Here is a 26,094-nt window from a genome sequence, read left to right on the forward strand (position 1 = left end):
TACACATAAGTTAAAGAACCCAGGTTAATATTAGCTTTATTTATTCTTTTAATTTTTCTTGTTTTTTTTTCTGAGACAGTCTCACTCTGTCGCCCAGGCTGGAGTGCAGTGGCGCGATCTTGGCTCACTGCAATCTCTGCCTCCCAGGTTCAAGCACTTCTCCTGCCTCAGCCTCCCAAGTAGTTGGGATTACAGGCATGTGCCACCATGCCCAGCTAAATTTTTGTATTTTTAGTAGACAGGGTTTCACCATGTTGGCCAGGCTGGTCTCAAACTCCTGACCTCAGGTGATTCACCCACCTCGGCCTCCCAAAGTGCTAGGGTTACAGGCATCAGCCACCACACCTGGCCAATATTATCTTTATTATACTGAAAGGCTTTATACTCTTCTCATATTTTGAGATAGATAAATCTAAGTATGAGTCATATAATAATACTTACATGATTTAGCTTTTTCAAAATTTCTATTTCTGTTTCAACATTGAGAGCTGGGTCCTTTGATAAACAGAATAACAGAGTTTATTAGTAATAATAATTGCCAATATTTAAAAAAACATTTACAGTTAAACTCAGTTGACTCAAGGCTGCCTGAGTTCCAAACCCAGCTCTACTTATACAAAGAAATCAAAGCCCAGGTCAATGACTTAAATACCTCACCTAAAATAACTTTGTAAAATGCTTGGCAAATAGTAAGCACTCAATAAATGGCCAGGCCCTGTGCCAAGCTCTTTATTTACAGAGATCATGTCTCATAAGCCTCAGAATCCCCATCTTACAGATGGGGCAACCAAGGCTCAGAAAACAGAAGCCACTTGCCCTAGTCTCCACAGTCAGAAACAAGTGTGTTTCCACTGTGTTCATTTTAATTAGTAAACCCTACTTATTAGCTATGGAACTATTTTTATTCATTAAAATGATAAACAAAAAACATGAACAAGAAGGTGTTCAATTAAACTATATAAAGAAAATGTGAAGTCAAATTTCTGCTAATAGAGCAGATACAGGTTCCAACTTCAACAGCAGCCTCGCATATTTACTGAGACTCTGACAAGAGGAGGCTTCAGGGTACTAAAGTTGTTCTGTTACAATTCCAAAAGGATGAATCAAGTAACTCAGCTTCCTGGGCTACACCCTCCACAAGCAAAGAGGAGATAGAATTACATATTTATGTAAAATGAACTTCAGCTAAGAAACCCAGATGTTTAATTTTAAGAGCCTGCCTCTTCCTGTAAGCCGCTAAACTCATTACCAAGTCAGGGTATACTCTGATAACAGGATGGTCACAAAGGTCCAATCTGATTCAAATAATGAAATCAAAACGTAAAATTTTACTCCCAGTTTTTAACAATCTAGTTGGTATTTTCTTCTCCCCAAAATGGGAAACAAATCTTAGAATCATAGGGGAAAAGATCTATAACAAAGTGAACACAAAAAGGAAATTCCTCTTGCCATGTGAGAATGGCATTGTCTAGGGGGAAAAAAAATTGATCTTTAAAGAATGTGAAAGTATAATAGCCAGAAACAGCTGGCCACTAGGGAAAATGTGATTAGAGGCTGTGTTTTACATTACTTTGTTGAGTCACATGTGGAAAGACCAATGCATTTGGCCATCTCTCCCATACAGTAAATGTTGATTACAAAAGAGTAGTAAAATAAATGGCTGCTATAAAGAAAGGCTATTTCAATGATTTAATTAAAATTTTAAAAATCTATGGCTAATCCATAAACCAGGGATACTCACTGCCATATTACCCAGAACAGCAAAGAATAAGAAATTACCTAAATGATCAGCCAGAGAAATGGTTAAGTAAATTACAATAAAGTTGATGACATGAAAACTCAGTCATCAAAAAGGATGTATTAGGCAAAAGTCTATGCTATAATGCATTTGTGGAAAAGCAAAATACAAAACTGTATATACAAGATGATTTCAACCATCTAAAAACACGATTTCATCTGAACAAAATCTAGAAGGAAAAGGAAAACTGAAAACAGCTGTGGGGTTACAGTGGGGATTATGGCTGAATTTTTTTCTCTAATTTCCTGTCATTTATTGTAAAAACAATCTTGTAACGACTTTGAACTTGGAAGAAGAAAAAAAAAAACTTCCCACTATGCTCATTATTATGTACAATTAAATACTTTTGGAACCAAATTATCTATAAGTAAAAGTTTCTAGATTAATCAAAGATGCCCCAAAATTTTCCATGTTCTTTGATACTCACAAATTCATCCATCTAAGCAGGGGGTTATTCCTGAGTTTAAAAATCATCAATCTAAGATTATTTTGGGAAGTTATGAAGACGTGTTAATAAAAGGTGATCAGCCTTTTATTGGTACTTACTGCCTCTCTTGCTGAACCAATAGCAAACTTCCTTTTGCTGATGATCTTTATGGCTACTTTCTTACATGTTTTCCTCTCGAAAGCCAGCTTTACCTCTCCACAGGCACCACTAGAGGGAAAAACAAAGATAGTGATTGTCTGAATGTTTTTAATTATGAGACCTACCACTCCTGGGTCCACTTCAAGTATTAGAATTTACAGACATTCCATATAACAGCCTTTCCATTGTCCCTGTTTGCAGAGGACACAGTGAAACTTCACCAGTGTAAAATGTCAAGGGCTTAACAGCCAAAAACACTAAGTCAGCTCCAAATTCCATTTCTGAGCCCAGCAATACAAACATGGGTCTTACTGTAGCCCTGGATTGTGAAATTCCCAGAAAGATACTAAGAGAAAAATGAGAGAGAAACTACGTATCCGAGAGGTCAGAAAAACATTAACTAGAAACAGTCCTCCCTGGTCAAAAATAAGTGCCCAAAACAAACAAATAACGGTAAACAGAATCTGCAAATGAATAACTTTAATGGATAAATTTCTTTCCTTCTTATTCTCCATCTTCAAAGGAAGTGCATAAGCAGTTGATGACATAAGTTGCACCCTAAATCAAATCAGATTACCTAAGAAACCAAACGTATTACACAATCAGCCTACTTTCAGCAACCTCTCACAGAGATTTGCAGTTAAATGGGATACTACTCATGGAGGAGGAATGCTCTCCAAGCCATTACCCAGAACACAGTTAATCCTGAGTAGGATCTGTCCTCCAAAGCTTGGGTCAGCCCAAGATAATGGCTACTAGGGCATCAATTACCCATTATGAAGTAGACTATTATAACTATTGTGGGTTTTGAAGGGGTGAGTTGAGGGGCTTACCAAGACATCTTTTTTATTGTGTTAAATATACATAACACAAAATTTACCACTGTAATCATTTTAAAGTGTACAATTCAGTAGCATTAAGTACATTTGCCAATGTTCTACAACCATCAGCATCTAATTCCAGAACTTTCTCATTAGCTCAAATGGAAACCCTGTACCTGTTAAGCAATTAAGCAGTCACTCCTCACTCTACCCTGTCCCCAGCACTCAGCCCCCAGCCCCTGGCAACCACTAATCTACTTTCTCTAAATATTGATTTGCCTATTCTGAATATTTCATATTGATGTAATCATACAATATGTAGCCTTTCGTGTCTGGATTCTTTCACTTAGCGTAATGCCATAACATTTGTGGTACTTCATTCCTTTTTACAGCTGAATAATATTCCATTATATGGAAGTATCACAGTTTATCTATTCACCTTCCGACGGACATTTATTTGGTTTGTTTCCACCTTTTGTAAATGGTTTCTTCAGTATGACAACAAAAGCATAAGCAACAAAAGAAAAACAATAGATAAATTATACTTCTTCATTGTGACTAAAGCTGCTATGAACATTTATGTACAAGTTTTCTTTTTTTTTTTTTTTGAGATGGAGTCTCGCTCAGTCGCCCAGGCTGGAGTGCAGTGGCGTGATCTCGGCTCACCGCAAGCTCCGCCTCCCGGGTTCACGCCATTCTGCCTCAGCCTCCCGAGTAGCTGGGACTACAGGTACCCGCCACCACGCCCGGCTAATCTTTTTGTATTTTTAGTAGAGGGGGGTTTCACTGTGTTAGCCAGGATGGTCTTGATCTCCTGACCTCGTGATCCTCCCATCTCGGCCTCCCAAAGTGCTGGGATTACAGGCGTGAGCCACCGCACTCGGCCACATGTACAAGTTTTTGTCTGAACACTTGTTTGCTTTTTTTTTGAGATATAGGCTCGATCTGTCACCCAGGCTGGAGTGCAGTGGCACAATCTCGGCTCACTACAACCTCTGCCTCCTGGCTTCAAGCAATTCTCGTGCCTCAGCCTCCTGAATAGCTGGGATTACAGGTGTGTGCCACCTCGCCCAACTAATTTTTGTATTTTTAGTAGAGACGGGGTTTCACCATGTTGGGCAGGCTGGTCTCGAACTCCTGACCTCAGGTTATCTACCCACCTCAGCCTCCCAAAGTGCTGGGATTAGAGGCGTGAGCCACCGTGCCCAGCCTGGACACTTGTTTTTTAAATTGGGGAATTTATATACCTAGAAGGAGAATTTCTGAGTCACGTGATAATTCTATGTTTACCTTTTTCTGTTGTTGTTTGTTGTTGTTGTTTTTTATGCCCCATAGAGCTCAGATGTTTACCTTTTTAAGAAATCACCAAACTATTTTCCACAGTGGCTACATCATTTTACATTCCCGTTAGCAGTGCATGGGGGTTCCAATTTCTCCACATCCTCACCAACAGTTACTAGTTTCTGTTTCCTTATTATGGTCAGCCTAGTAGGTAGGTGTGAAGTGGTATCTCATTGTGGTTTTGATTTGTATTGCCCTAATGACTAATGATATTCAGCATCTTTTGATGTGCTTTTTGGCCATTGTATGTGTTCTTGAGGGAAATGTCTATTCAAGCCCTTTGCCCATTTGTTTTGTTTTGTTTTTAGAGACAGGATCTCACTCTGTCGCCCAGGCTGCAGTGCAGTGCCTTTGCCCATTTTTAAATGGCAGGTTGTTTGTTTTTTTATTGTACAGTTCTAAGATGTCTTTATCTATTCTAGACATAAGCCCTTATCAGATATAGGGCTTGCAAATATTTAATCATTCTGTTGGTTTTGTTTTCACTTATTGATAGGTATCTTTTGAGGCACAAAAGTTTTTAATTTTGATTAAGTCTAATTTATCTATTTTTTCTTTTGTTGCTGTGCTTTTGGTGTCTTATGTAAGAAACCACTGCCAAATACAAGGTCATGAAGAGCTGTCCCTATGCTTTCCTCCCAGAGTTGTATAGTTTTACCTCTTATATTTCATTCTTGGTTCCACTTTGAATTAATTCTTATGTATGGTATGAGGTAAGGGTCCATGTAACTATTCTTTTTAAAATCAGCTCAAAGCACTTTCCAATTTCCCTTCTCCTGGAAACAGTCACCCTTTGCCTGGGAATTCCTCCCCAAGTCCGTGCAGCTCTAGCTGGGTGTCTACTATGGCACAACCCCTACTCCTAGAAACACAGGATAGCTACATAACCAAAACTGAGCTGGAGCAGTGAGCCATGATCATGCCACCGCACTCCAGCCTGAGACACAGAGCAACACCCTGTCATTCATTCATACCTACAGCCAGAGTTGCCCTTGAAATCAAATGCTGACATTGGGAGACAGACTTCTCTCTGTTGTAGTTTCTAGACAAAGAAAATATCATTCTGCAGCCCCTGGTAGCCATTTTTCCTACCACATAGAGAGAACAATTCTATAGGAAGCCAACAAACAGCTGAATCAAGAGATGGAGCTAGAGCCCTGGTGACACTGCAGGAGCTCTTAGACGCAGTCAACCAGACCATCAGAACTCAAAGACCATGAAGTAAAGCCTAATGACCTCCTAGATCCAGCCATGCCTGAAGTAAGGATTTGCCTGCTTATTTTTATTTTTATTTATTTATTTATTTATTTTAATATTTTATTTTTTTGAGACAGGGTCTTGCTCTGTCACCCAGGCTGGAGTGCAGTGATGCCATCTTGGCTCACTGCAACCTCCGCCTCCTGGGTTCAATCGATTCTCTTGCCTCAACCTCCCAAGTAGCTGGGACTACAGACATATGCCACCACACCCAGTTAATGTTTATATTTTTAGTAGAGACAGGGTTTTACTGTGTCAGCCCGGCTGGTCTCAAACTCCTGACCTCAAGTGATCCACCAGCCTCGGCCTCCCAAAGTACCCGGATTACAGGCGTTAGCCACTATGCCCGGCCTGGCTATTTCCCAGTTACAAAAGCCAGTAAATTTTTTCTCTTACCTGACTCATTTGAGTTGAGTTTCTATCATTTGCTACAAGTTAGAGAATTCATATTAAATCTTCCCTTAGGAAAACATTGAATTCCATACATTTCTTCTTCTTTTTTTTTTTTTTCCTCCCGAGACATTGTCTCACTCTATCGCCCAGGCTGGAATGCAGTGGCATGATGATGGCTCACTGCAGCCTCCACCTCCTGGGCTCAGGTAATCCTCCCACCTCCACCTTCCAAGTAGCTGGGACTACAGGTGCAGACCGCAACGCTCAGCTAACTTTTTCTATTTTTTCTAGAGACAGGATTTCTCTATTGCCCAGCTGCCCAGGCTGGTCTTGAACTCCTGGACTCAAGTGATACACCTGCCTTAGCTTCCCAAAGTGCTGGGGTTACAGGCATGAGCCACCATACCCAGCCTCATACATTTCTTTTTTCTTTTTTCTCTTTTTTTTTTTTTTTGAGACAGAGTCTCACTCTGTTGCCAAGGGTGGAGTGCAGTGGCGTGATCTCAGCTCACTACAACCTCCGCCTCCTGGGTTCAAGCTATTCTCCTGCCTCAGCCTCCCAAGTAGCTGGGATTACAGGCATGCGTCACCACACCTGGCTAATTTTTATATTTTTAGTAGAGACAGGGTTTCACCATGTTGGCCAGGCTGGTCTCAAACCCCCAACCTCAGGTGATCCACCCGCCTCAGCCTCCCAAAGTGCTAGGATTACAGGTGTGAGCCACCGTGCCCAGCCCATACATTTCTTAAGAAAGGGTTTGACGGTTAGATTCCAAGCAACCAGTGCAAATATGGAAACACATCAGTTACTGAATTCAGTATCAGTAAACTAAAATTTCTCCCATATAATACAGAGGATACTGTGCTTAACTATGTTGCAGGAATATGGATGATTATTTCCTTTTATGTACTTTCCTTCCATGTTTCCAAAAATATCAGTAGAAAGACCTTTGTGAGACAGGAAGGGGGATGAAGAACATTTTGTAATGTGGTAACAGTATCCTGATACTTTCCTAAAGAAATGGTTCTCAAAGTATGATTGGATCACCCCAAAAGGACCCCAAGACCTTGCAGGGCATCCACAAAGCCACAACTATGCTCAGAATAATACTAAGACATTATTTGTGTTTTCCATTCTCATTAGCTCATAAGTATGGAGATTTCCAGACACTACGTGGCGTGTGACAACATAACAGACTGAATGACGAAACAAATTACAGAATCTAGCCATCTTCTAACTAAGCCAGATGTTAAAAAAATTTTGCAAAAATGTTGAACAGTGCCTCTCTTCTCACTAATCTTTTTAATAATTATTTTTTATAAAAAATGTTACTCAGGCCAGGCGCGGTGGCTCATGCCTATAATCCCAGCACTTTGGGGGACCGAGGCAGGCGGATCATGAGGTCAGGAGATCGAGACCATCCTGGCTAACACAGTAAAACCCCATCTCTATTAAAAATACAAAAAATTAGCTGGGTGTGGTGGCACAGGCCTGTAGTCCCAGCTACTTGGGTGACTGAGTCAGAAGAATTGCTTGAACCCGGGAGGCAGAGGTTGAAGTGAGCTGAGATCGTGCCACTGCACTCCAGCCTGGGTGACAGAGCGAGACTCCATCTCAAGAAGAAAAAAATAAATGTAACTCATCTTAACATGTAGTAAATTTACCTAATGAATTAATATAAAAATGTCTTGGCAAAATGCAGTGGTTCACACCTGTAATCCCAACATTTTGAGAGGCTGAGGCAGGAGGATAACTTGAGCCCAGGAGTTCGAGACAAGCCTAGGCAATACAGCAAGACTCATCTCTACAGTAAAAAAAAAAATAAAAATTAGGGCCGGGAGTGGTGGCTCACGCCTATAATCCAGCACTCTGGGAGGCCGAGGCAGGCAGATCACCTGAGGTCAGGAGTTCAAGACCAGCCAGGCCAACATGGTGAAACCTCATCTCTACTAAAAATACAAAAAAATTAGCTGGGTGTGTGGTGGCGGGCACCTGTAATCCCAGCTACCTGGGAGGCTGAGGCAGGAGAATCACTTGAACCCAGGAGGCAGAGGTTGCATTGAGCTGAGACCACACCATTGCACACCATTGCCTGGGCAACAAGAGACCACACCATTGCCTGGGCAACAAGAACAAAACTCCATCTCAAAAAAATAAAATAAAGTAAAAATTAGCCGGCTGTGATGGTGCAAGCCTGTAGTCCCAGCTACTCAGGAGGCTGAGGCAGAAGAATCGCTTGAACCCGGGAGGCGGAGGTTGCAGTGGGCCAAGATCACGCCACTGCACCTCAGTCTGAGTGACAGAGTGAAACTCCGTCTCAAAGAAAAAAAAGTTATCACCAATAAAATTCGTGAGGCGAAAGAGTTAATTTCACCTCAAACACATCAAAAATGCACCTATCATGATGTATGAAAAATGCTCAGTATCTCTAGCCATCAAGGAAATGCAAATTAAAACCACAATGACATCACCTGAAGCCTGTTAGAATGGCTATTATCAAAAAGATGAATAATAACAAATGTTGGAGAGGATGTGAAGAAAAGAGAACCCTGGTACACTGTTGGTGGGAAAGTAAATTAGTACAGCCATTTTGGAAAATAGTATAAAGGTTCCCCAAAAAGCTAAAATTGTAATTACCATATGATCCAGCAATCCCACTTCTGGATATATATCCAAAAAAAAATTTAAATCAGTATGTTGAAGAGATATCTGCACTCCCATGTTCATTTCAGCATTATTCACAATAGCCAAGATAGGGAAGCAACCAAAGTGTCCATAAATGAATGAACGGACAAAGTAAATGTGGTGTATATATACACAATGAAATACTATACACATGGCCAGGCACAGTGGCTCATGCCTGTAATCCTAGCACTTTGGGAGGCCGAGATGGGTGGATTGCTTGAGCTTAGGAGTTCAAGACCAGCCTGGGCAACATGGTAATACCCCATCTCTACACAAAATACAAAAATTAGCCAGGCACGGTGGTTCAAGCCCATAGTCCCAGCTACTTGGGAGGCTAAGGTGGGAGGATCACTTGAGCCCTGGAAGTGGAGGTTGCAGTGAGTCAAGATCGTACCACTGCACTCCAGCCTGTGCAACAGAGCAAGACTCTGACACTAACACACACACACACACACACACACACACACACACACACAGGAAATAAAAAAAGAAATATTTGGCTGGGCATGGTGGCTCACGCTACTAATCTCAGCACTTTGGGAGGCTAAGGCAGGAGGATGGGTTGAGCCCAGGAGTTCAAGACCAGCCCTGGCAACACAGCGCAACCCCAACTCTAAAAAACAAAAACACACATTAGTTGTGCATGGTGCTGCATGCCTGATCTCCCTTGACCTGGGAGATCAAGGCCACAGTGAGCTCTGATCGTGCCACTACCCTCCAGCCTGGGTAACAGAGCAACACCCTGTCTCACAAAGAAATAAAATAAAAATAAATTAAAATGACTGTGTGAAATAACACACAAAAATAAAAATAAAAAATAATACACAAATAGATACCATACAAATGTTATCAATACATAATGAGTGTTATAAAATCAGAAATGAGAAACCACCAATCACAAATGTATAGTGAAAAAATTAAGTGCATTTATATAAGAAAATAATTTACCTTCCAAGAGTTTTTGACATGATGTATTCATCTCTTAATGCCTTAGGATAAACTGACTGATCATCTACAGTCAGATCAAAAAAGACAAAAACTAAGGAAGAAAAGAGTAGAAATGGGTTTCATTAATTTATTCACAAGAGGCGATCACTGATTCTAAAATTTATTCATCATATGGAATATAAGAACTGTTTTTAACTACATTTAACATGTAACCTTAAGGAAATTAGTATGTATGTAATATAATAGGTATTAGTGGGCTAATACATATTGTAAAGCCCTTGAGAAATAAATGATAGTCAAATTTCATGCTTCAATGGAACTATAAGCATCACTCTGAAACTAGTGCAAAAAATCCGTAACACAACATTATTTATATTCCTTGACCTCAGAATATCAATCAATTACACTAATATAAAATGCCCATGCAGATTTACAACAGGCCCAGAATCAAAAAGCAATCCATCAGTCTGAGCCTAGAAAAAATGGTCTAGGCAAGTAAATATCCCAATGAAAATTAGGCCATCAGTATCACCATACGGGTATTATCATCTCTCAGCCATTTATACCTTTATATATCCGGTATTAAGTATTTTATAGTGCAAACCATATTCAACATATTTGTAAAGCTAGGTAAATAACATTTTCTAAACAAATTCCCTTTTTTCTCCATTATTTGGGCTGTATCTTAAAAAAAGTAATTTTTTTTTTTTTTTTTTGAGAGAGTTTCACTCTGTTGCCCAGGCTGGAGTGCAGTGGCATGACCTCAGCTCACTGCAACCTCCACCTCCCAGGTTCAAGCAATTTTTGTGCCTCAGCCTCCTGAGTAGCTGGGATTACAGGCGAACAGCACCATGCCCGGCTAAGTTTTGTATTTTTAGTAGAGACGGGATTTTACCATGTTGGCCAGGCTGATCTCGAACTCCTGACCTCAGGTGATCCACCCACCTTGGCATCCCAAAGTGCTGGGATTACAGGAGTTAGCCAATGTGCCCAGCCAAAAAAAAAAAAAGTAAAACAACTACTTTTTAAATTCTATAACCCAGGACAGTGCTGATGATTTAATAATTTAACCACCCACGTGGGCCAAGCCTGTGATAAATTATCAAATATTTCAATTCTACAAAGTCATCAATGATAAATTTGCAATTGCCTATGCCATCTTGAAAGGTGAAATTTGTTAAGACCCTTGAGTTTCTCAGATCTCAGGTGACAGGTTTTGACCTCCCTAGAATAACCTAAGGATCCAGTCTCTGGCACAAATCTGAGCCACCTGAGTATATTTCATTCAGGCTGGTACACAAGAGGCAGGCACTTGTCTGGTGACAGACACCTGCTGGCCACCCAGGCACAAGTGTCCCTCTATGCTTGTAGCTATTCATAACGCTGTATGTTCCAGTGGCATCTGAGAATGTAGAAATTTGATTGGCTCTCATGATGTATTTCTCCTGTCAAGGTTTACTTCAAGGGCTCAAACGCCATTGTCCACACAAGTCAGGAAGGTAATGTAACAGGGTCAGGCTGTGTTGAGTTTAAGACACCATGGAGAAGTGGGGAGAGAAAACACACCTCCCATCTAAAGGAGGCAGCCTCTACTCAGTGCCTACAGATCCTCCGGTTGTGGGACTATAGACTCACTGTGGCCACATATTACAACTTCTCTAAGACATCTGGATGTTCACATTACCACTGTAAGTATCAGTAAATGCCTAATAAAATATCTATAGGCCAAATGCAGCCTGCAGAGGACCAGTCTGACCTACTTTAATAAGGGTCACCTTTAGCCTATATGACATCTTTGTTCAAATTAGAGAAAACAGAGATTTATTGTACAACATGGTGATTGTAGTTAACAACAATGTACTGTTTTTTGTTTGTTGTTTGTTTGGGTTTTTTTTTTTTTTTTTTTTTTGAGACGAAGTCTCGCTCTTGTACCCCAGGCTAGAGTGCAATGGTGCAATCTTGGCTCACTGCAACCTCCACCTCCTGGATTCAAGCAATTCTCCTGCCTCAGACCCCTGAGTAGCTGGGATTACAGGCGCCTGCCATCATGCCCGGCTAATTTTTGTATTTTTAATAGAGACAGAGTTTCACCACGTTGACCAGGCTGGTCTCGAACTCCTGACCTCAGGTGATCTGCCAGCCTCGGCCTCCCAAAGTGCTGGGATTAAAGACGTGAGCCACCGCGCCCCGCCGTATTTTTGAAAATCAGCTGAGAGAGTAGATTTTAAGTATTTTCTCTATTAAAAAAAAAAAGATAAATATGTGAGGTAATGCATGTTAGCTCAAATTAGTCATTCTACAATGTATACATATTTGAAAACATGTTGTACATGATAAATACATATAATTTTTTTGAGACACGTTCTTACTCTCTTGCCCAGGGAAGAGTACAGTGGTGCAATCATGGCTCACTGTAGCCTCGACCTCCCAGGCTCAAGCAATCCTCCCACCTCAGACTCCCAAGTAGCTGGGACTACAGGAACACAGCAGCATGCCCAGCTAATTTTTTTATGTTTGGCAGAGATGGGGTCTCACTATGTTGCCCAAGCTGGTCTCGAATTCCTGGACTCAAGCAATCTTCCTGTCTTGGCCTCCCAAAGTGCTGAGATTACAGGCATGAGCTACCACGCCAGCCTATAATTTTTATTTATCTATTAAATAAATTTTTTAATGTTTATTTAATTTTTTTAAAAGAGGAAGAAAAGTGCCCTTTGAGTAGACCAATGAGAAGGTGGCACACAGCTTGTCAAGGAGAGGACAGACCAAATTTCAGCACCCAGTTGCCTCCTCCCCTAGGTACCCACAAACAGCAAAACCTAAAGCAGCTGCCCTGACTATAACTGTCAGATAGAAAACAAAATGGTCGCCGGGCGCGGTGGCTCACGCCTGTAATCCCAGCACTTTGGAAGGCCGAGGCGGAAGGATCACGAGGTCAGGAGATGGAGACCATCCTGGCTAACACGGTGAAACCCCGTCTCTACTAAAAATACAAAAAATTAGCCGGGCGCAGTGGCGGGCGCCTATAGTCCCAACTACTTGGGAGGCTGAGGCAGGAGAATGGCGTGAACCCAGGAGGCGGAGCTTGCAGTGGGCCGAGATCATGCCACTGCACTCCAGCCTGGGCGATAGAGCCAGACTCCGTCTCAAAAAAAAAAAAAAAAAAAAGAAAAGAAAAGAAAAGAAAACAAAATAGTCAAAATAGAAACAGGGAAAACTAAGTTAATCATAAAATGTACTTTAGGATGCCCAACATAGACATAGTTCCAAGATACCAGACTGAAGACTGACTTGCATGAAAATCCCTTAGGCATGACTTTATTTTGTTTGGTTAGATGGGGTCTCACCATGTTGCCCGAGCTGGAGGGCAGTGGCTATTTACAGGCACAATCATAGCTCACTGTAGCCTTAAAATCCTGGGCTCAAGGGATCCTCTAGCCTCACCTTTCTGAGTAGCAGGGACTACAGACTCATGCCGCAGCCCCTAGAGGCATGATTTTTAAAATCCCTACCAGAATCTGGAGAAGAGTGCTTATATGAACCTTTATTTTCAAAATGTGTCGCACACACATAGACACCCTCCAAGTCATTCGACTCTCAGATAAGTTTGGGAACGTCTATGGTTTCTTTAACTAAAGAAAAATTGTATTCCTCCTGTCTAATCACGCTGAGCTACTTTTAACTCTATTGGTTGTTTTTGTCAGGTATCCTTTCTAGATATTACCCAGAAAAACAGTTGTTCATTTTAGATGTTATTTTCATAGTTTCAGAAATGGATGCTTATAAAATGCTACCTGATGAGGCTGATAAACATCTCCACTTGTGCACGATAACCTTGTAGTATTTACAAAGGTAGAAGCTCTAAAGTGAGCCTCTTACAGAAGCACTCACAGCCTAGTACCTGGCATATAAAAAGAGCTCAATAGGCCGGGCGCGGTGGCTCACGCCTGTAATCCCAGCACTTTGGGAGGCCGAGGCGGGTGGATCACGAGGTCAGGAGATCGAGACCATCCTGGCTAAAACAGTGAAACCCCGTCTCTACTAAAAATACAAAAAATTAGGTGGGCGTGGTGGCGGGCGCCTGTAGTCCCAGCTACTGGGGAGGCTGAGGCAGGAGAATGGCGTGAACCCGGGAGGCGGAGCTTGCAGTGAGCCGAGATCGCGCCACTGCACTCCAGCCTGGGCGACAGAGCAAGGCTCCGTCACAAGGAAAAAAAAAGAAAAAAAAAAAAAAGGAGCTCAATAAATGTATACAGAAATAAATGAATAGGGCTGGACATGGTGGCTCCCACCTGTAATCCCAGCACTTTGGGAGGCCAAGGCAGGCAGACTGACTGCTTGAGCTCAGAAGTCTAAGACCAGTCTGGCCAACATGGTAAAACCCCGTCTCTACCAAAAATACAAAAAATTAGCCAGGCGTGGTGGCATGTGTCTGTGGTCACAGCTACTCAGGAGGCTAAGGTGGGAGGATCACTTGAGCCTGGGAGGCAGAGGTTGCAGTGCCACTGAACTCCAGCCTGGGAGACAGAGTGAGACCATGTCTCGAAAAAGAAAGAAAGAAAAAAATGAATGGAAAAAATGAAGAAAGGAAAGAATGAGGTGAAGAGGAAGGAAAAATGAATTAATGGCCTGAAACAACAATTCATAGATATCTAAGACTGATGTGGTATAAACTGAATCAATCAATGAACTATAACTTATTTTAATCACCATGATAATTCAATTAACAGTATATGGGCCAGGCGGGGGCTCACGCCTGTAATCCCAGCACTTTGGGAGGCTGAAGCAGGCAGATCACGAGGTCAGGAGTTCAAGACCAGCCTGGCCAACACAGTGAAACCCCGTCTCTACTAAAAGTACAAAAAAATTAGATGGGTGTGGTGGCAGGAGCCTGTAATCCCAGCTACTTGGGAGGCTGAGGCAAGGAGAATCGCTTGAAACTGGGAGGCAGAGGTTGCGGTGAGCCGAGATTGCACCACTGCACTCCAGCCCAGGTGACAGTGCAAGACTCCGTCTAAAAAAAAACAAAACAAAACAAAACAAAAAAAACAGTATATGGCATTACATAAAACCAATTAAACCTTAAAACCTTAAAAATCTGTCTGGATGGAACTTTTTCATAATTTTACAATGCAACTAGGACGGCAAAGTTGAATCTTGAGTGCTAACTTACTCATCTTTTTTTTTGTTTTGAGACAGAGTTTCACTCTTGTTGCCCAGGCTAGAGTGCAATGGCACGATCTTGGCTCACTGCAACCTCTGCCTCCCGGGTTCAAGCGATTCTCCTGCCTCAGCCTCCCGAATAGCTGGGATTACAGGCATGCACCACCATGCCCGGCTTATTTTGTATTTTTAGTAGAGACAGGGTTTCTCCATGTGGGTCAGGCTGGTCTCGAACTCCTGACCTCAGGTGATCCATCCGCCTCAGCCTCCCAAAGTGCTGGGATTACAGGTGTGAGCCACCACGCCCAGCAACTTACTCATCTTTACTCACTTAAACCATATTCTGTAAGGACAGGACAAATTTTCCTCCTATGAGAGAGTGGAAAAAAAAAATTCCAGTAACCATAAGATAATAATATTACCTTTATTTCTGCTTAGTGACAGTGCAATTTCAGAATTGTTATTCAAAGGACGGCGTTTTCCTTTCCCTACAAGCTCTGTATTTACAAAGGTTCCATTGCCACTGTGATCTTCTATGTATGCAATGTAAGAGTTTTTAGGACCCACTTCCTAAAATAGAGAACATTTTGTTTCAGACTTTGAATAGCAGAGATTTATAGTGGGAAAATATCTAAAAACAATGACCAAATTACCAGCTCTCCTAGATACATGGGTATTCATTACCTACCCTGAAAATCCGAAAGTGTTTCTTGCTGTATGTTCGGTATTTATCTGTTCTTTTCAGCAGTGGTTCATCAAAGCAATATTCACAGCTTTTGTCCCTCCCAAACCAGTAGTTGTCATTCACACATTCTGTAATATAAAAGCATGCATCAGAGGGCTGTTGAATTTCATGTATCAAACGTTTAAAAATTGCTCATAAATGCTAATTGTAGGAAAATAGCCTAAGAAGGCAATCAGAATTATCAATCTGCTTATCAAGATTTTACAAGATTAAAAATTAGGAGAGAAAAAACAACATTACCAATGAGTTTAACAAATGGCAGTTTATCTATAACCACATGGCCAGGCACAGTGGCTCACACCTGTAATCTCAGCCCTTTGGAAGGCTAAGGCAGGAGGATCACTTGACCCCAGGAGCTCATGACCAGCCTGGGCAACATAGGGGGCACCCATCTCTACCAAGAATTTAAAAATTAGTCTGGGCAACATGGTGAAACCCTATCTCTACAAAAAATAAAAAATCAGCAGGGTGTGGTGGTGGGTCCCTGTGGTCTCAGCTACTCAGGAGGCTGAGGTGGGAGGATCGCTTGAGCCCAGGAGGTCGAGGCTGCAGTGAGCTGAGACTGCGCCACTGCACACTAGCCTGGGCGACAGAGTGAGACCCAGTTTCAAAAAAAAAAAAATGGCCAGGTGTGGTGGCTCATGCCTGTAATCCCAGCACTTTGGGAGGCTGAGACGAATGGATCACGAGGTCAGGAGTTCAAGACCAGCCTGGCCAAGATGGTGAAACCCTGTCTCTACTAAAAAATACAAAAATTAGCTGGGCGTGGTGGCGGGTGCCTGTAATCCCAGTTACTCGGGAAGCTGAGGCAGAGAATTGCTTGAACCTGGGAGGTGGAGGATGCAGTGAGCCAAGATTGCGCCACTGCACTCCAGCCTGGACGACAAAGCAAGACTCTGTCTGAAAAAAAACAAAAAACAATTAACCAGATGTGGTGGTGCATGCCTGTAGTCCAGCTACTCAGGAGGCTGAAGGAGGAGGATCACTTGAGCAAGATAAGCTGATGCTACAATGGGCTGTGATCCTGCCACTGTACTCCAACCTGGGCAACAGAGCAAGACCCTGTCTCAAAAAAATAAATAAACAAATATTTAATATATATTATATATTTATTTTATATTTATTATATATAATATATATAATTTGTATTTATTATACATGTTATATAAATTTATTTTATAAGTTGTCTTAAATATAATTATATATTTATACACAATATAACATATATTATATATTTATAATATAGTAATTATATCTAAATATATAATAATATATAATATATATTATAATCTATTAATATATGTATTTATATACACAAACACACACATACACATACATATATATATAAAACCGTGAAATAACAAATAGTCATTAAAAGTTCTCGAGTAATTTTTAATGACTTGGAAAATTACTTGCAATACAGTAATTTCCTGCTTATTACCTTCCTGAGGTTTTCCATGACACTTAGCATAAAATCTGCACTCTTCCTCATGGCCTACTAGATGCTCAGGGTCTGGCGTCTGCCACCATTCCAGCCCCACCTCATACCCCTCTCCCCTTGCTCATGACACCCAGCACCACTGGCCTCCTTTCACTGCCCCCAAGAATGCTGGGTTCAATCTGCCTTGTGGTCTTAGCACTTCTTCCCCAACTACACAAATGGCTCATTCCACCTTGCCTTTTGTATAACAGATACTATCTACACAACACTATCTGCCTTTAGGACTCTACTATCATCTCCCACTCAGCTTTCTTTCTTTGAGATGGAGTCTCGCTCTGTCGCCCAGGCTGGAGTGCGGTGGCGCGATCTCGGCTCACTGCAACCTCCACCTCCCAGGTTCAAGCGATTCTCCTGCCTCAGCCTCCCGAGTGGCTGGGACTACAGGCACGTGCCACCATGCCCAGCTAATTTTTTGTAATTTTAGTAGAGACGGGGTTTCGCCATGTTAGACAGGATGGTCTCGATCTCCTGAACTTGTGATCCGCCCGCCTCGGCCTCCCAAAGTGCTGGGATAACAGGCATGCGCCACCACACCCGGCCTCCCGCTCAGCTTGTTATATAAACATTACTCACCTGTTATCATAATGTTATCCTGTTTTATATCTTTTTGGGTATGGGCCACGGCTGGAAATTACCTTGCTTATTTGTATATTTTCTCCCCACCTCCCTGCATTAGAACATAACCTCCAGGAGGGCAGCTGGAGACCTCTTGTTTAACAGTACAACTCCAGCACTTGGGATATTGCACATGGCAGGTAATTAAATGTTCATTGCAAGGCAGACTAGGGAAAATACTAGCAACTCCTATCAGGAAAAGGAATAATTTCCCTAATAAATGTTAGGTTCCTATAAATCAGTGAAAACGCTAAACAGTCCAGTAGAAAAATAGGTAAAGGATATGAAAAGATAATTTACAAGAAACAGAAATACAGCTGGCTCAAACATATGAAAGGTGGCCAAGCTAACCCAATATAAGAAAATTCAGAAATCAAAAACACATTAAGATTTCATGTTTTACCTATTAGATTGGCAAAAATCCAAAAGTTTCATATCACCCTGTGCTGGCAAGAGGTATGAAAAAGCGGGTACTCTCATACATTGCCATTGGGAATATAATTTATACACACATTGTCTATAATTGTCTAGGGAGGACAATTTAGCAAGATCTATCAAAATTACATATGGGCTGGGCACGATGGCTCACACCTGTAATCCCAGTACTTTGGGAGGCCAAGGAAGGAGGATCACTTGAGCCTGAAGGTCGAGGCTGCACTAAGCTGTGGTTGCACCACTCACTCCAGAGTGAGAGTGAGACCCTATCTCTAGAAAGAAAAAGAAAATTAACAAATCCAAATTTAGTTAGTTAAAAAGATCAACAAGTTGGCAAACCTTAGACAGACTGAACAAGAAAAAAAGAGACAAGACTCAAATTACTAAAATTAGAATGAGAGAGATAATTACTACTGATCTGACAGAAATAAAAATGATTTAAAAAGAATAATTGAACAATTGTGTGACAGTATTAGATGACATAGGTGAAATGGACAAACTCCTAGAAAGATACAAACTACCAAAACTAACACAAGAAGAAACAGAAAATCTGAATATACCCATAAGAAGTGAAAAGACTGAATGATAATCCTAGCACATTGGGAGGCCAAGGCAGGCGGATTGCTTGACTTCAGGAGATTGAGACCAGCCTGTGCAACATGGCAAAATCCCGTCTCTACTAAAAACAAAACAAAAAAAAATTTAGCCAGGTGTGGTGGCGCGCCCCTGTAGTCCCAGCTACTCTGGAGGCTGAGGCACAAGAATCGTTTGAACCTGTGAGGCAGAGGCTGCAGTGAGCCAATATTGTGCCACTGCACTCCAGCCTGGGTGACAGAGAGAGAGACTCTGTCTCCAAAAAAACAAAACAAAACAAAAGACTGAATGAGTAATCAAAATATCCCTACAAAGAAAAGTGCAGTCCCAGATTGCCTCACTTTAGCTTGAGCAACATAGGGACACCCCATCTCTATCAAAATAAAAAAATTAGCCACACATGGTGGCACATGCCTGAGGTCCCAGCTACTCAGGAGGCTGAGGTAGGAGTTGAGCCTGGGAGGTCAAGCCTGCAGTGAAACGTGATAGTGGGTAACACTCCAGCGTGGGTAAGAGTGAGACCCTGTCTCAAAAAAAAGAAAAAAGAAACACACGGCTGGCTTCATTTTAAATTCTATCAAATATGTAAAGAACTAATACCAATTATTCTCAAACTTTTCGAAGAAATTCGGAACGGAACACTGTCAACTCATCTATGAGGCCAGCATACCAAAACCAGACAGAGACATCACAGTAAAACCACAAACCAATATCCCTTGTGAATATAGATATAAAAATCCTCAACAAAACAGTAGCAAACTAAATCCAGCAACACATAAAAAAGATTACAAATGACCAAACAAGAATTAACCCAGGACGCCAGGCGCGGTGGCTCACATCTGTATTCCCAGCACTTTGGGAGGCCGAGGCGGGCGATCACGAGGTCAGGAGATGGAGACCATCCTGGCTAACACGGTGAAACCCCGTCTCTACTAAAAATACAAAAAATTAGCCGGGCGAGGTGGCGGGCGCCTGTAGTCCCAGCTACTCGGGAGGCTGAGGCAAGAGAATGGCGTGAACCCCAGGGGGCAGACCCTGCAGTGAGCCGAGATCACGCCACTGCACTCCAGCCTGGGCGACAGCGAGACTCCATCTCAAAAAAAAAAAAAAAAAAAAAAAAAGAATTAACCCAGGAAAGCTTGGTTGGTTTAACATCTGAAAACCAATTAATATAATACACGATAACAATAGAATATAGGAAAATAGACACAGAAAAAAATTTTGGCAAAATGCAACACCCTTTTATAACAAAAAATACTCAGAAAACTAGGAATAGGAGTAAACTCCTTCAACCTAATAAAGAGCTTTTATTTTATTTATTATCTATTTATTTTTAATTTAGAGGCAAAGTCTTGCTCTGTGGCCTGCAATCATAGCTTGCTGCAGTCTCCAACTCGTGGCCTTAAGCACTTCTCCTGCCATAGGCTCCCAAAGCACTGAGATTATAGGGTGAAAGAGTCAGAGCAACCAGCCAGAAAGCATTTTTTTTTTCTTTTGAGTCAGAGTCTCACTCTATCACCAACTAGCTGGAACTACAGGCTCCTGCCACCACGCCCGGCTAATTTTGTTTTTGTATTTTTAGTAGAGACGGGGTTTCACCATGTTGGCCAGGATGGTCTCGATCTCCTGACCTTGTGATCCGCCCACCTCAGCCTCCCAAAGTGCTTGGATTACAGGCATGAGCCACTGCACCCACCCCAGAAAGAACTTTTATGAAACATCCACAGCTTAGTCTTCAGATATCAGAGGAGAAAGGAGAGAGGAAGAGAGAAGAGGAGAGAGAAGAGGAAAGAAAAGAGGAGAGGAGAGGAGGGGAGGGGAGGAAAGGAAAGCGGAAGGGAAAGGAAAGGAAAGCGGAAGGGAAAGGAAAGCAGAAGGGAAAGGAAAGGAAAGGAAAAAAGAAAGGGGAAAGGGGAAAGGAAAAGGAAAAGGGAAAGAGAAAGGGAAAGGGAAAGACCCACAGCTAACATCATACTTAGACTGCAAACTGGCCGGGGATGGTGCCTCACACCTCTTATCCCAGCACTTTGGGAGGCTGAGGCAGGAGGATCAGATGACAGCAGGAGTTCAAGATCAGATTGGGTAACATGGCCAGACTCTGTCTCTACAAAAAATAAAAATAAAAAAGTTAGGCCAGCCACGGTGGCTCATGCCTGTAATCCCAGCACTTTGGGAGGCCGAGGCGGGTGGATCACCCGAGGGCAGGAGTTCGAGACCAGCCTGGCCAACATGGTGAAACCCCATCTCTACTAAAAATACAAAAATTAGCCAGGCATGGTGGCATAAGCATGTAATCCCAGCTACTTGGGAGGCTGAGGCAGGAGAATCGCTTGAAACCGGGAGGAGGAGGTTGCGGTGAGCCGAGATCATGACATTGCAATCCAGCCTGGTGACAGAGCAAGGCTCCGTCTCAATAAATAAATAAATAAAACTTAAAATGAATAAAGGACCTTAATTAAACATAAGAGCTAAAACTAGGCCAGGCACTGTGGCTTATGCCTGTAATCCTAACACTTTGGGAAGCCAAGATGGATGTATTGCTTGAGCTCAGGAGTTTGAGACCAGACTGCAACATGATGAAACCCCATCTCCACCAAGAATACAAAAAGTTAGCTGGGAGTGGTGGTGCACATCTGTGGTCCCAGCTACTCAGGAGGCTGAAGTGGGAGAATTGCTTGAGCCTGGGAGGCAGAGGCTGAAGTGAGCTGAGATTGTGCCACTGCACTCCAGCCTGGATGACAGAGTGAGATCCTGTCTCAAAATAAACAAACAAACAAACAAACAAAAATTTAAAAAAAGGAATTAAAACTGTAAAATTTTAAAAGAAAACATAGGTATAAATAATTAACAAATAATAATAATAAACAGCCTCGGCCAGACGTGGTGGCTCGCGCCTGTAATCCCACCACTTTGGGAGGCCAAGGCGGGCAGATCACCTGAGGTCAGGAGTTTGAAACCAGCCTGGCCAATATGATGACAACCCGTCCCTACTAAAAAATACAGAACTTAGCCACGGTGGTGGGCACCTGTAATCCCAGCTACTCAGGTGGCTGAGGCAGGAGAATGGCTTCAACCCAGGAGATTGAGGTTGCAGTGAGCCAAGATCGTACCACTGCACTCCAGCCTGGGTGACAGAGTGAGACTCCGTCTCAAATAATAATAATAATAATAATGATAAACAGTCTCTATTTATTCAGCACCTACTTTATGCTGGTCATCCTATCAGGATCTTTGTTTACTTGTCTTTTTTTGTTTTTCCTTTTTGTGGAGAATGGGGTCTCGCTATATTGCCCAGCAGGTCTCAAACTCCTGGGTTCAAGCTATCCTCCCACCTCTGCTGCTCTAAGAGCTGGGATTACAGTTGAGAGCCCCTGCACCCAGCCTCTTTGTTTTCTTACTTTTAAAGGTGATGTATCCCATTTAGCCCTTTCTCACCATTTCTATTTCTCACTCATCTAAACCTATAGGCCTATCTGAAAAAATATATTGTATTTTATTTATTTGTTTATTTTTTGGAGACGGAATCTCGCTCTGTCACCCAGGCGGGACTGCAGTAGCGCAATCTCAGCTCACTGCAACCTCCACCTCCCAAGTTCCAGCAATTCTCCTGTCTCAGCCTCCTGTGTGGGTGGGATTACAGATGCCTGCCACAACGCCCCGCAAATTTTTTTTTCTTTTTTTTTTGAGATGGAGTTTCGCTCTTGTTGCCCAGGCTGGAGTGCAATGGCGAGATCTCGGTTCACTGCAACCTCTGCCTCCCAGGTTCAACCGATTCTCCTGCCTCAGCCTCCTGAGTAGCTGGGATTACAGGAGCCCGCCACCATGCCCAGCTAATTTTGTATTTTTAGTAGAGACAGGGTTTCTCCATGTTGGTCAGGCTGGTCTCGAACTCCCGATCTCAGGTGATCCGCCCATCTCGGCCTCCCAAAGTGCTGGGATTACAGGCATGAGCCACCACGCCTGGCCTAATTTTTGTATTTTTAACAGAGACAGGGTTTCCCCATGTTGGCCAGGATGGCCTCAAACTCCTGACCTCAGGTGATCCACCTGCCTTGGTCTCTCAACGTGCTGGGATTACAGGCATGAGCCACAATGCCCGGTCTGAAAAATATATTTTAAATCAGTTAAAAATAGCTTCGAGTGTCTACTTATAAATTTAAAGTTGTATATGTGGAATGCAGGTATATTCCTCCATTTTTTATAGTTTTTTCAAGATATCAAAGTTAGACATGAAATAAAACAAGGATGGTGAGTGACAAAACACAAAATGATACATCAGTCCTTCATTTCTTTATATTAACATATTCTATCCTGTTAATGCCAAGTTCAAATTTGTTTATTAAAGAGGTCATTGCAATGTAAGCGAAAGGAAAAAAAACACTATTTTTTTTGGCCGGAGTGCAGTGGTGCAATCCTGGCTCATTGCAACCTCTGCCTCCCAGGTTCAAGCAATTCTCATGTCTCATCCTCCTGAGTAGCTGGGATTGCAGACATGCGCCACCACACCTGGCTAATTTTTGTATTTTCAGGAGAGACAGGGTTTTGCCATGTTGCCCAAGCTGGTTTCGAACTCCTGGCCTCAAGTGATCCTCCCGCTTTGGCCTCCCAAAGTGCTGGGATTACAGGCGTGAGCCACCATGCCTGGCAATGTTAAAATACACACATGTGTATTTTAAACATATGCAGAGCAAAACTTACTATTGGAACCAGGAGGTGTCAGAAAGGGTCAACATGTTTAAATCACAAGGTTGGCTATTTTGAGACAAAAACAAGTAACAAGTAGTCAACAAATGGCCATCTCTATTCTGAACAGCTCTGATTCTCTGAAGCTGTGGCAAACCACAGCAGAGGTTAACTAGTGAAGCTTTTGTGATTAGGGGATAATGTTTGCAAGTTTGAGTGAATCTGCATTTTTCTAGGAAGAGGGTCCAAAGCTACCTTCAGATCTTTGGATGGACAGCACATTGTAAATGTCCAATTATTATTTGTTGAAAGAGTAAATGAACAGAATCCACAGCAGGTAACAGCCAGGGCAACACCCAATACTGCCTCTTTGGTTTTACCTTTTATCACATTCAAACTCCAGAATTATTCTAAGAGTGGCTCAAGCATTCTGCTGCAACTAACTAAGGCAGGAAAATAGGGTCTGAAGGCAGGGAATCTATGGCCAATTCACGCAAACTTCCTGGAATAGATGGGCACGGTTGCTCATGCCTGTAATCCCAACACTTTGGGAGGCCGAAGCAGGAGGATCACTTGAGGCCAGGAGTTCGAGACCAGCCTGGCCAACGTGGTGAAACCCCGTCTCTACTAAAAATACAAAAATTAGCCAGGTGTGGTGGTGTGTGTCTGTAATCCCAGCTACTCAGGAATCTGAGACAGGAGAATCGCTTGAACCCAGGAGTCAGAGGCTGCAGTGAGCCGAGCCGAGATGGCGTCACTGCACTTGTCTGTGCGACAGAGCAAGACTCCGTTGCCAAAAAAAAAAAAAAAAAAATTCCTGAAACTAAACAAAAAAGGAAGAATTTGCACTCTGGCCTATGATCCGTCCATTCTAGGACCTTCATTTGCATAAGGCGTCAATCCACACCAGTCTTGGAATGGCCGAGCTCCAATTCACTTTGGCCTCTAATGGGCTGTGAGCCAGCACTTCATTTACATAGGATGTAAACAGTGGGAGACCTCTAGAGGGTACTTGAACCCCAGAAGACTTTGCTACAAGGGCTCTGCAGCCACTTGCTCAGGCCTGCTCCCATCCTGTGACATGTACTTTAGCTTCTATTGCCTTCCACTTCAATAAATCTATGCTTTCATTGCTTGTTCATGCATGATGTTCAATTATTTGTTCAACGTGCCAAAAACCTGGACAACTCCAATCAGAACCTTCCACCTGGTAATACAACTTTCTGTAAGTGTTTTTCTGAACAAAACGTGATACTATACAACAAAGGGTCTTACCAAGATTGGCAAATCCATCCTGAAGGGCCCATAATCGAGCCCAGGGGGCAGGGGTAGGCTCCTCAGGTTCTTGGTCCTCAGGTTCTTGGTCCTCAGGAATAGAATAGAGTTCCTGAGTGGACACTGTCTCTAAGGAGCTCAGTGTCCCAGAGCTGGAGTGAGAGGACTGGCTGGAGTTTGGCATCGTGCTGGTAGAGGAGCTGGATATGCCCTGGGACTGTGAGGAGGAGCCTTGGGACTGGGTAACGCTGCCATGGGGCTGTGAACAGGCACTGCTGCCATGAGACTGCTGAGCCTCAACATCCGACTCCCGAGACATCACGACCTCAAAAAGAAAGTGTCCAACAACAAAGGTGAGTTTCAAGGCACAAGACTTAAAATTAAAAAGTAAATGATGGGCCTATTACAACAGCAAAAGAAAAGAAAAAAAAAAAAACAGGGCAAACATGCTCTCCAAAAATTAAAAGTCCTAACAGCCCAGACCTATAGTTCTTCTGGGCTGAGCTTTTCACCAGATCATTGTCACCAGATCAGTTTTTTATCTGACAGCCATAAACTACAGGGAAAAACAAATTATCTGAAGGTTACAAATAAGTAAAAAGCAATAAAATTGAGCTGGGGGGCTCATAAAAGCTTACATTTGTCCAATTCTTTTAAATTAAGACTGAAACCAAAAATGTACTGATACAATCAACACTACATTTAAATTTCATATATACAGGGGGCCAGGCGCGGGGGTTCACTCCTGTAGTCCCGCACTTTGGGAGGACAAGACGGGCAGATCATGAGGTCAGGAGTTCAAGACCAGCCTGGCCAACATAGTGAAACTCCGTCTCTACTAAAAATACAAAAAATTAGCCAGGCGTGGTGGCGGGCACCTGTATTCTCAGCTACTCGGGAGGCTGAGGCAGGAGAATCGCTTGAGCCCGGGAGGCAGAGGTTGCAGTGAACCAAGATTGCACCACTGCACTCCAGCCTGGGCAACAGTGCAAGACTCCGTTTCAAAAAAAAAAACTCATATATACAGTCCTCAATTTAACAATGCTTCTATTTAACAATGTTTAGACTTTCTGTGAAAGCAATCAGTAGACACTTACTTCTCCAAGTCCTCACATAACCATTCTGGTTTTCACCTTCAGTACAGTATTCAAGTAATTACATGAGATATTTAACACCTTATTATAAAATAGGCCAGGTGGCCAGGTGCAGTGGCTCACACCTATAATCCCAGAACTCTGGGGGGTCAAGGCAGGTAG

At 42.5% G+C, this 26,094-nt stretch overlaps 1 protein-coding gene across 24 annotated transcripts in view; it reads right to left on the bottom strand.

Annotated features, from left to right (window-relative positions):
- Positions 1-26,094, bottom strand: part of CHEK2 (checkpoint kinase 2) — a 54,093-nt gene that overhangs the window by 21,823 nt on the left and 6,176 nt on the right. For 8 of the 24 annotated variants that reach the window (XR_937806.3, XR_007067954.1, XR_937807.3 and 5 more), the window contains exons 2-8: positions 24,839-25,163; positions 20,856-20,984; positions 15,679-15,803; positions 15,413-15,560; positions 9,831-9,921; positions 2,345-2,453; positions 442-495 (exon numbers count right to left, since the gene is read on the bottom strand). Coding sequence is in view for 20 of the 24 variants with exons in the window: in XM_011529839.3 (XP_011528141.1) it covers positions 442-495; positions 2,345-2,453; positions 9,831-9,921; positions 15,413-15,560; positions 15,679-15,803; positions 20,856-20,984; positions 24,839-25,163 (981 nt within the window). In the remaining 4 variants the exon portion in view is untranslated. Of the gene's footprint in view, positions 1-441; positions 496-2,344; positions 2,454-2,547; positions 2,921-9,830; positions 9,922-11,953; positions 12,068-15,321; positions 15,360-15,412; positions 15,561-15,678; positions 15,804-20,855; positions 20,985-24,838; positions 25,164-26,094 lie in introns of those variants that run through there. The other 16 variants (XR_007067955.1, NM_145862.3, NM_007194.4 and 13 more) reach the window with 8 other exon arrangements.

Source organism: Homo sapiens, chromosome 22 (assembly GCF_000001405.40).
Source record: "Homo sapiens chromosome 22, GRCh38.p14 Primary Assembly".
Classification (NCBI taxonomy): Eukaryota; Metazoa; Chordata; class Mammalia; order Primates; family Hominidae; genus Homo; species Homo sapiens.